This window comes from Homo sapiens, chromosome 2 (genome assembly GCF_000001405.40).
Source record: "Homo sapiens chromosome 2, GRCh38.p14 Primary Assembly".
Classification (NCBI taxonomy): domain Eukaryota; kingdom Metazoa; phylum Chordata; class Mammalia; order Primates; family Hominidae; genus Homo; species Homo sapiens.
The window spans coordinates 134479900-134491755 of NC_000002.12; the positions used below are offsets into that span (position 1 = coordinate 134479900).

The window sequence follows — 11856 nt, forward strand, 5'->3', positions numbered from 1 at the left end:
GGCAATTAGGGGAGAGCTGACAAAATCTGATCTGGGTGAGGATTCTCGTGCTGACCTGTGATGTGGGTTATCATACACTAGCTCAGGAGACCTTGGTCAGCCAGACCAGGTCAGCTTTTCTCCTGGAAGACACACAGCCCCTGCACTGCCCCATACGCAGTCTTGCAAATTGGTAGATAAGTGTGCCCATGACCTGGTGTACATTATAAGACACGGTCTTTTCCAGCTCCTTGCAGAAAAGCCAACCCCAACCAAACCAGCTGGATAAAGGGGACTCCTCTGCCCTCACCTCCTAACACTCTCCCCTTTTCTCACTCTGTTCCAGCTGCCCTGCCTCCTCTGTTCCTCAAGTATGACTGGCAGGCTCCTACCCCAGGGCCTTTGCACATGCCACTCTCTCTGCCTGGAGGTTCCACACAGCCACAGGGCTCACTGTGTCATCTCTCTGCTCAAGTGTCAGCTTCTCAGTGAGGTGGTCCCTGACTGCAATCACTCCTCACCCCCGATCTTTCTTCTTTTTTTTAATAGCACTTTTCACATTTATACACATGTGCTTAAATTTAAAATTAATAAAATTAAGCACTCAGTTCCTCATTTGATTAGCCACAATTAAGTGCTCAATATGGCTACAGGCTATCATACTCAAGAGTGTAGACATAGAACATTCCCATGACCACAGAAAGTTTTATTAGATCACACTGATTTAGGAACAAGTTGGTTTTTCCCTCTGACCTTGGGATAAAGCAGTCAGTGGCTAGAAAGTGGTGCAGACAACTGAAGAACGGGAGCCGTGGGAGACAGTGACCTGGCAAATAGTCAAAAAGGAGTTAGGCAAGGAGAGGGGACCTGGGATTTGGCAAGTCACAGGAATAAAACTCATTGTGCTCGACTAACACCCTGCCTCCAAAATGTATCTAGGGATTAAGAGTTTTTTAATTATTATATACTTTTTTATTGAGGTGTAATTAGCATACAATAAAGGTACAGATTTTAAATGTTGAATTTGATAAATTCTGTCAATGGTAATACCAGTTTAACCATCTGCAAAACAAAACAGAATATTTCCATGACCCCCGAAGTTCCTTCACGTCCCTTTCTCAGACCCCTGCAACCACATTCTGACTACAATCACCATGGATTAATTTCTTCTACTCTTGGATTTTATATAAGTGGAATCACACAGTATGAATTTGGTGGGGGAGGGGGACTTAGACTTCGTTTGTCAACATCATGTTTTTGAGATTCATCCATCTTGTTGCAGACATCAGCTGTTGATTCTGTATCATCCTGGAGTCTTACTCTAGCTATTTGTTTCATGGCCCTCCCCCGACAGGTTTATTATAATTCCATCTAAATGCTTCCCATCGACACCAGGTGATATGATTTGGCTACATTTCCACCCACATCTCATCTTGAACTGTAACTACCACAATTCCCATGTGTTGTGGGACAGACCTAGTGGGAGGTAATTGAATCATGGGGGGGGGGGGAGCTTTTCCTGTGCTATTCTCCTGATAGTGAACAAGTCTCAAGAGATCTGATGGTTTTATAAAGGGGAGTTTTCCTGCACAAGCTCTCTTATCTGCTGCAATGTGAGGCGTGCCTTTCACCTTCCACCATGATTGTGAGGCCTCCCCAGCCACATGGAACTGTGAGTCCATTAAACCTCTTTTTCCTTGTAAATTACCCAGTCTCCGGTATGTCTTTATCAGCAGCGTGAAAATGGACTAATATACTAGGCTTTTTTATTTCAGTTCCCAATGGAGTTGGGCCGTTGTTGATGCAAGGACAGGGGAAGGAATAGGAGGGAAGCTGATGGGGTCTAATGCTCCCTCATTATGTAGGAGATCATCTCCCTTCATGACATCTACACATTCAGGTCAAAATATCAGAGTGACATGAGCTGAGATGAAAGTGCTGTGAGAACCATTTCTCCCGTCAAAGTCCACAAGCAGCCTTGAAGATGGCTGGTCCACTCACAGAGCAAGACCTCGGGGGTCAGGATGTCTCAAGGCGACCTTCCACCTCCTCCAACGTGCTCAGCAGGAATGAACCCCACCATCTCTCCCCATCACTCCCACCTGATACTCCATATACCAAAATGGAGGTGGCGGTGAGAGTGAGCATCTGTAAATAAAATTCCACCTCCTGATTAATTCTCATCTTCAAAGAAAATGTTTCTAGCTGGTCATCAGCCAATAGCAGTTTCCAACATTGTGACATCAAGTTTCTCTGTCCTCGCCACCACCCCCATTTTCCCATACAGTCTCATCTCAAAGATAAGACAACGATGAGTTGTTATTAATGGTGTTGCTCACAGAAAAACCTCATGTAGAAATAAAATGCTTTTCTGCAGGGCCAGTTGTCACCTCCCACTTTAAGCTTATTCCTCATCAAGGGTGACACCAGCAGTCATAAACCCAGGTCACGATGAACTGTGGCCACTGACACTGAGCAGAGACCATGTCTGAAATCCCAACCCACCCTTTCCCCTAAAGACCAACACTTCCTTTTTCATGAGATGTGAGCCAGCAAGCGGAATAGGAGGCTCACTTGCTTATGCCTGCAAAAAGGCGTCCTCTGCCTTCCTAATGAGGACAAATTCAAGCCATCCTGACACTACATGTGTTAGAGTATTACCCAGGGAAATGCTAATGCTGGCTGAATAGTAAATGAATATTGATTTATGGCCCCAGGTGAAATTGAAACAGTCACTCTTGTCTTGAGAACTTTTCATCACCACTTTCCCCACCCCCAACCAGCAGATGAGAAAAGCTGGCAGATGTAGAGGAAATTTCGCCAAGCCTGAGCCCTCCATTTCCCCTGGTTATTAAATTATATTGACAAGTTACCGTGGATTCACATTCAATGGCTTTACAATTTTTAAATTAGCATCAGACCATTTTGATGTCTGGAGGGTCAAGAGTTGATGTTTAGACAAGCAGGTGAGCAGCCAGAAAGTTCCCCAGCCAAGAGACATCAGGTTCGTCGGTGGGCTTCCCAGCAGACTGGGGTGCCTTGGTCCCCGGCATTTTCTGGCCGGCTGGCCAACCTGCCAGGTGAGGCCCTGCAGAGCACCGAGAAGGGAGCAGACACTCAGCTCCAGGGGCACCACAAAGCTGAGGCTGGCAGGGTCACAGGAAGCCACAGCAAAAGGTAAGGCAGCAGCGGCCGAGGGCTACGACCAGCTCCGTGACAATGAGGGCACTCTGAGGCGCTTGGCTGCCTCTTCCAAGACATAGCCCAGCTTCTGGTCAAGGAAGCACCGTCAGTTTGCTGTTTTCTGATACAAGAGAAGGAATCAGAGTCTCGGGGACAAGCCCTCCAACCCCTGAAGGTTGCCACGGAATCTGAGATGAGCCACCCTGGCTGGGCTCACACACCTCCCTCCCCTGGTGGCCGTCGGGCATTTAAAGGACCAAGCACAACATCCCCTCATCAAGCCCCTCGCAACACAGAGGCACCGCCATTCCTGAGGAACTCTGCTCAATGACAGAAGTAGGACCTCTGGTTGCCTGCTTTTGCTCCCTGCATTGGTATGAACACCACACCAACACCCCAGTATCAAACTAGAGTTGCTTAAGTTACAGTAATAACAACACAAGCCCATACTATTATTTAATGCCCATTAGAAAGGAGGCTCTTTTCCAAATGCTTAATAAATGATTCAATTTTATTTGAAACATAACTGTCACAAGACCCCTGCGAGGTGGAAATTCTGACCCTAAAAAGTTAAATAACACTCCTGCCCCCCGGCCTTAAGATCACCCAGCTAGTCAGAGATGCTGGAGGCATTCAAGCGCCCATCTGTCTGACCTAAAGTCCACTGCCCTTTACACCCAAAAAGACATGTACGACGCTCTTTTTTTAAAACATTGTCTGATGGCCCTGCATTTGAACAACAGGAAGCCCAAAATGGTAGATCAGAGAAAACATGATTTTTGAGAGTATTAACAATTTTGGGCCAGGCACAGTGGCTCACGCCTCCAATCCCAGCACTTTGGGAGGCCAAGGTGGGTGGATCACCTGAGGTCAGGAGTTCGAGACCAGCCTGGCCAACATGGCAAAACCTCATCTCTACAATACAAAAAAATTAGCTGGGTGTGGTGGCGTGCCTGTAATCCCAGCTACTCGGGAGAGGTTGAGGCAGGAGAATCCCTTGAACCCAGAAGACGAATGTTGCAGTGAGTGAGATCAAGCCACTGCACTCCAGCCTGGCTGACAGGGTAAGAATCCCTCTCAAAAGAAAAATTTGTGTTTTTGGCAAAACCAGGACTGAAGGACATGGGTTCCAGTCAGGGTCTGAGTGCCTAGCACAACGCGTGGAGGAAAAAAAAACACCCTCACCAAGGCGAATAACGAAATTCTCAGAACACCGAAGACAAACAGAAGATCTTACAAGCTCCATAGAGAAAACACAAGTTTTTTTTTCTCTTTTAAACAAAGGATTATTAGAATGGCATTAGTCATATCAAAAACATTAGAAATTGGAAGACAAGCTGAGCATGGTGGCTTACACCCATAATTCCAGCACTTTGGGAGGCTGAAGAGGGAGGATTACTTGAACTCAAAACCAGCCTGAGCAACACAGCAAGACCCCATCTCTAGGAAATATTTAAAAAAAATTAGCCAGGCGTGGTGGCATGTGCCTGTAGTCCCAGCTACTCAGGAGGCTGAGGCCCCTGTGTGTGTAACTGACGTATATATCCATGTATTAGGAAGAGGGAACACAAAACCTAATGCAAGAAAGGAAAAGACAAATCACTGGAGACTACAGAGCTCAGCTATGAATAACAATGACAACAATAACAACAATGTTAAATCTTGATCTAACCAAAATAACATGTAACTATACTGGGAAGAGGGGTAATTTGGCAATGGGGGAATGGTTAAAGGGTCAACCAGAGTAGGAAGTCCATAAATCACGCTGATAACAAAAAATCAAGCAGCAGCAACCTGCACATGTTACTTAGAGGTGTGGAGGTTGAAAGGAGTTATAAATGGCTGCTGTAGGGAGAGAGTTACTTTCTATAATAAGCCTTGTAGAACAAATGGCTATTCAAATTATATATATGACTAACTTGGATAAAAACAAAAACTTGGAAAATATTTTAAGACAGTAATTTCTGGCCGTATCAATCAGTTCAACCAGAGAAAGAGAACCAGTGAGAGATACACAGGTGCTCCTTGACTTACAATGGGGTTATGTCCGGATAAACCCATTGTAATTTCAAAATACTGCAAATTAAAAATGCACTTAATACACCTAATCTACTGAACATCCTGGCTTAGCCTAGCCTAAACGTATCCAGAACACTTACATTAGCTGATAGTTGGTCAAAATCATCTAACACAAAGCCTGTTTTATAATCAAGTATGGAATATCTCATGTAATGCATTGAATACTGTACTGAATGTGAAAAACAGAATGGTTACATGGGTCCTTGAAGTATGTTTCTGCTGAATGTATATCACTTCCACATCCTTGTAAAGCTGAAAAATCCTAAGCGGAACCATCGTAAGTTGGGGACCATAAGTAGATTTAGAAACGTATTACAAGGAGTCGGCTTGTATGATTACAGGAACTGCGTAAGTGAGTCTGAAGTCCACAGGCCCAACCAGCAAGAAGGGTAGGCGGGGGTTCTCAGGTACAAGCTGAAGCTGCTGCCCGAGGCACAATTTCTTCTTCCTCCGGGAAACCTCGTTCTGTTCTTAGGGCCTTCAACTGACTGCATCAGGCTCACCCAGATTATCAAGGATAATCTCCTTTACTTAAAGACAACTGATCATAGATGTTCATCACACCTGCAAAATGCCTATATATTGAATACTTACATATTGAAGGTTGATTTGAAAGCAAATCAACAGGTCTGATCCACAGAATCAAACACTTCTTCAGAAACACTAGGACATACAAACTTTGGGCAAGTTTGCTTGAGAGAGAAAGCAAGAGCACAAGTAAACAAGTAAACCTTCAAAGCAACATCCAGCTGGGTGTCGGAGTGAATAACCAGGGATACATGCCCCTCACACTGGGTAGCACACCTGTGGCCTGCTCCATGAGAAAGTCCCCTTGAAAGCACTCGTTGGCCATCAGGCCTGAAGAATCATCTGAACTCTCAGATTTATAACTATCAGGGCTCCATCAGAGGTACTCACATGGCAGGGTGTAAGTTAGGCCAGAATCTGAAAGCCATGCCTAACACCTAAAAATACAATATGGAGAAGCTCTATGCACAACACTCTTCATGCAAAATACCTTTGCCAGCTCCTGACATAATTGAATATTTTATCTCCTTTCATTTAAAAATAAAACAGAAAAAAGAATTAAGTGCCAACTGCTAAAACCAAAAAGATAAACAAACTTAAAGCTCATTTACCCACCCCCAAAACCGAATGTGAACAAAACACAAGGAAGGCACTACTAACGATGAGAGCTTAGATCTAGAAAGCAAATCAACAGGTCTGATCCACAGAATCAAACACTTCAAAAACTTCTTCGAAAAGACGAGGACATACAAACTTTGGGCAAGGTTGCTTGAGAGAGAAAGCAAGAGCACAAGTAAACACTATTAGCAACAAAACAGGGCATCTAAATACAGATGGATTCGAGATTTTACAAATCACAAGTAATATGAGCAACTTTAATGCAATAAATTTGCTGTCGAAACAAAATTTGAAAATTCTTACAAAAACATGAACTATAAAATATATTGGATCTTCAAAAAGTAACAGGCCCGGTTTTACAGATAAATTCTACTAAAACTCAAAGGAATAGATAGTTCTTACGTTAAAATCAGTACACCAGGGCACGGAAAAGTAGAAAAGCTGCCTAGTTCATTACATGTGGTACAAAGAACAAGCACTTTAGACCAATGTTACTTAAAAGCACAGATGCAAAACTCCAAACAAAATAGTAGGTTGAGTCCAGCAATAGACTGAAAGAATAATGCTCTTTGACCAAAGAGGGTTTATCCCAAGAATTCAAAGATGCCTTATTAGAATATCAATTAATTTGAAATATTCACATCTTAAAGGAAAAGAAAATCTCAGTATAAACAGAAAAAGTATTCAAAATTCAATACCTATATACATAACTAACCAAACAAGCAAACCTCTTAGCAAACAGCAACAAACCACTTTTGGTAATGAAATTGAGAAGCCCTTCTGTTACAGTAAGAACCAACAGAAGGATATAGGATAGCACCCTTACCACCAACACTATATTGAAAACCTTGGCTAATAAGAAACAAAAAAGGAAAAAATATAGAATTTGAAAAGAGAAACAAAGTGGCATTATAAAACATACCCAAAATAATCCATTGATAAAAATAAAACTAATTTTTAAAAAGTCAGCAAGGTTGCAGGTTAATGAGAACAATATTCAAGTATCATTAGCTTTCTTATGCAGTAATAATTGAGAAAATTAATTAAATACAAACACTTAATAGCAATAAAACTCACAAAATATAGAGGAATTGCCCTGATAAAAATTTCACCAAAGGACATAAAAGAAAACCTTAACAGAGAAGGATGAAATGGAAGGGAGGATGCAATTGTTAAAGCAAGCCAATTCTCTCAGAATTAATAAATTCGATGCAACTTCACACAACACCCCAACAGGATTTTTCATTAAACTTGGCAAACCAGTTTTGAAATTCGTATGGAATATTACTAATGCAATGTTAGTCAAAACCACTTTGAAAATCCAAGAAAAGATGGTGACCAAACATTAAGACTCATTGTAATTACAGGAATTTTAGAGAATGACTCTAGAACAAAATGGACCCACGCATCCACAGAATGGAACGGCAAGTCCAGGGACAGCTGTGCACCTATGAGAACATGGCACATGATGGAGGTGGCCTTTGAAATCATCTTGGGCAAGTTGTATATTCATCTGAGTAAAAGAAAAACCAAATTGGATCCCTACCTCATACCAAATACAAATTCTAGATGAATTAAAGATCTAATTTTAAAGTCTAACCTTTAATATCTTTTAAAAGATAATACAGGTATATATCTTCATGGCATCAGGGCAATAGACCTTCTTAAACCTCTATGTCCTCCCTTGCCAAACAAAAACAAACCACCACAATCTCCATTTAAAAAAAAAAAAGACTGATAAATTTGATCACACCAAAATGGAAAGGGTGGGAAGATTTCTAATAGCAACAGATAGACAATATTAAAAGAAAAACTAAATATTAGGCGAAATTATTTGCAATGCACATATGTGATGGTTAATATTGAGTGCCAACTTGATTAGACTGAAGGATGCAAAGTATTATTCCTGGGTGTGTCTGTGAGGGTGTTCACAAAGGAGATTAACATTTTATCTTGAACTCCTGATCTCAGATGATCCCCCTGCCTCAGCCTCCCAAAGTAAAAAGAGATTAACTTTTGAGTCAGTGGACTGGGAGCAGCAGACCTAATCAGCTGCCAGTGTGGCTAGAATAAAGCAGGCAGAAGAATGTGGAAGGAGTGAACTTGCTGAGTCTTCCAGCCTTCATCTTTCTCCCGTGCTGGGTGCTTCCTGCCCTCAAACATCAGACTCCAAGTTCTTCAGCTTTTGGACTCCTGGACTTACACCAGTGAACTGCCAGGAGCTCTCAGGTCTTCGGCCACAGACTGAAGGCTGCACCATCGGCTTCCCTACTTTTGAGGTTTTGGGACTCAGACTGGCTTCCTTGCTCCTCAGCTTGCAGATGGCCTATTGTGGGACTTTAGCATGTGATCATGTGAGTCAATACTCCTTAACAGACTCATTTTCATATACACACATATCCTATTAGTTCTGTCCCTCTAGAGAACCCTGACTAATACAACATAGAACAAGACTGGTACCTGGAACACAGATAAATAACTCCTAAAAACCTGTGGGAAAAAGATAACAATAGATAAATGGGCAAAACATATAAAGCAGCAATTTATAAAAGAGGAAACATAAAAAGTCAGCAGATGCATAAAAATATAATCAACTTCACCAATAACCAGGGGAGAGCAAATTAAAATGAGATACCATTTTCCACCCATTAGTCTGGAAAATTGTGATAAGTTTGAAAATATAAAGTGTGGTAACATTCTGAGAACATGAACTAGGGCAGCCACACCGAAGGGCACTTGGGAAGATCTATAAAATGAAACATGGGCATAGTCTACGATCCAAAATCCATGTTTACCCTAGAGAAACACCATCCTCACACGGTACATACTACCATGAGAGTATGACAATGTTCATTCTAACAACACTGTAATAATAAAAAACTGGAAACTACCCAAATGTCCATCAACCAGGGAAGGCCTAAAGCACCTACATTTATATGATGAACAATTCACATTATAAATATTCTAGATCTTAAGACTATGTTGAGTAAAAAAGTTGCAGTGTGGGCCAGGCGTGATGATGATGGTTCACACCTGTAATCCCAGCACTTTGAGAGGCTGAGGCGGGTGGATCATGAGGTTAAGAGATCAAGACCATCCCGGCCAACAGGGAAAAACCCCGTCTCTACTAAAAACACCAAAATTAGCCAGGTGCAGTGGTGGGCACTGTAGTCCCAGCTATTTGGGAGGCTGAGGCAGGAGAATCATTTGAACTCGGGAGGCAGAGGTTACAGTGAGCCGAGATCGCACCACTGCACTCCAGCCTGGCAACAGAGCAAGACTCTCTCTCAAAAAAAAAAAAAAAGTTGCAGTGTGTTATGTGCAATATCCATCCATGGAATAACCCACAACAATGTTATAGTTCCTATGATATGATTATGTATCATATAATAATTGGAGGTGATGGTGAAAGGGGCCATACTTATGCACATGGGCTGCCTCACCTGCACATCATCTGTTCACATTCATCATCCCCACAGCACAGAGAGGATATGAAGTTCAGACCATGAACGAGGGCGAATAATCTGGGACAAGCCCCTTTTGCCATCTCTTTCTCTTCCAAAGGGGTGTAAAAATGTCCACAGCAAGGTCCCAGGCAGCCTCTGTTGGGGATTCCCCGAAAGATGAACTCCTCCTGGTTATATCCCTTTCCTAAGTGCAGTACCAGCTTACCGCCTGCTACAGCTAATGGCCACGTGCACACATGAATTCACTCATTCAGCAAACATTTATTGAGTTCCCACCCCATGCCAGGTCCTATATTAGGTGCTTTGCTGAACAGCGAGTCTAGTCCTCCAAGAGTTTACAGTCTCCTTTGAGAGACAAGTAGACAAAGAATTATAATGCAGTGTGCTGAGCTACTCCAACAGTCTACATGAGGTGTCATCGGAGCGCCACCAGCTGGGTGATGTTTGGGGCATTCAAAATGGGGTCGGGGGCAGGGTTAGCTAAACTCGATGGCTAGCAGGCAGAAGCCAGTGGCAACACTATCTCTCACCAGCGGTAGTGGGGAAGTGTCAAGGACCACAGCACTTCATGGCTCTTTCCTCTTACAACCCTCTCTGAATACAGCCTCCCTCTTCAGAACAGCCAACACTACAGATACTCAAGGAGCAGGTCCAGGGGTCCCTCCTGAACACAACTGACCTTCACAAGCACCCACAGTCAGCCTGGCTTCCATGTTCTGACTCTCCCTGGAAAGTTCTTTAGAGAAAAGATCCTGTGTTTAGCTCATCTTGGTCTCAGAATCTCTCAACTCCCACAAGGGCCTGGGATGATCAGATATCCCATTTTAATAGGATTACTGAAAGGTTAAGAATTTTTACTCAGTTTTTCCCAAATTACTTCCCAAAAAAGCATGAAGTGTTTCCCTAACAACTTTGGTAACAAATACTCATATGCTGGTCACAGGCAGAAAACTCCCAAGTGACCACATGGCTCCTATGATAGATGGAGGCTGGAACACATGTCACATGTCACGTAAAGGGGACCCTCATGACCGCTAGAGCTCACAGACGCCGCTTTGCTGTGCTAGGGTGTATTGTGTGCACCACATAATCAGGGATATTTCAGAGCTTGGGAAATAAAAAAAGCATTCAGTATGATTCTCTCCATTAGCTAGACAATCAACAAAACAGCCAGAAATGTTATGAGGATCATGTTGTTCATATTATACTTAGGAAACTCAATGAAAAAAAATATTTTCCTTAAACTGTTAAACACCTTTTAAAACATCTTCTTTCTTCAAAAGATAGGAAGGTGTTCTCAAAACCTTACAGAGAGAAAGAAGAGCTAAGTTAGTTTGTTTTCACATTCCAGATGGAAACATGAAAAGCAAAAGATTCACTCAGTGTCCCAAGTCAAGTAGAGAGGCATGTGAAGAGCGAAGCACTCAGCCCTGATACTCCCATACCCATCTCTGACGAACACCAGTGTCCTGAATACACAGATGCCTCTAGAGCAGGCTGGGGGCTGGAGAGATGAGCGTGTCTCCCTCACCTCGCTCTCTTCTCTATTTTTCTTTCCCTAACCCAGCACCCCCTAGGATAAGTCTCCAAGGCCACTGGGAAGATGGGGGTGGGGAGTTCACCCCATTCAGGAGAGTGTGGAAAAGTCCTAGACTTGGAGTTTTCTCAGAATCTTCTGAGAGACTGAGTCTCGGGGCCGTATTTCCTCTATCAGGAAACTTGGCCAGTTGTATTAGCTTTTCATGGAGGCTTTCAGATCCCAAATTCTATGGTACTTCAGGAGACACTCCGTGGACCAGAAAGCACCCTCCACCCCTTAAAAGACCTGGTTCCACTCGCCCTGTGTCTCTGACACTGATATGATGTAGTCTGGAAGGAGTGGTTTTATTTATCTGAGGATCTGTTTCCTTGTTATTAAATGGCAATGTGTCTAACGCCTCTGCCTACTTCAGAAACACCCTGAAGGTCTAATGAGATATCAAGCTAAAAAGCTCTTTTTTTG

General features: G+C 42.9%; 1 protein-coding gene across 1 annotated transcript in view, besides 2 other annotated features; it reads right to left on the minus strand.

Moving 5' to 3' along the window:
* The window catches only part of TMEM163 (transmembrane protein 163), a 263242-nt gene that overhangs the window by 24141 nt on the left and 227245 nt on the right, over positions 1 to 11856 (minus strand). The gene's annotated exons all lie outside the window — the stretch shown is intronic.
* Positions 2597 to 3127: an enhancer, noted in NCBI's record as "H3K4me1 hESC enhancer chr2:135240067-135240597 (GRCh37/hg19 assembly coordinates)". NCBI's record gives its function as "activates a minimal SCP1, AML or CMV promoter by ChIP-STARR-seq in primed H9 embryonic stem cells {active_cell/tissue: H9 hESC(primed)}" and the evidence as "EXISTENCE:reporter gene assay evidence [ECO:0000049][PMID:30033119]".
* Positions 3128 to 3657: an enhancer, noted in NCBI's record as "H3K4me1 hESC enhancer chr2:135240598-135241127 (GRCh37/hg19 assembly coordinates)". NCBI's record gives its function as "activates a minimal SCP1, AML or CMV promoter by ChIP-STARR-seq in primed H9 embryonic stem cells {active_cell/tissue: H9 hESC(primed)}" and the evidence as "EXISTENCE:reporter gene assay evidence [ECO:0000049][PMID:30033119]".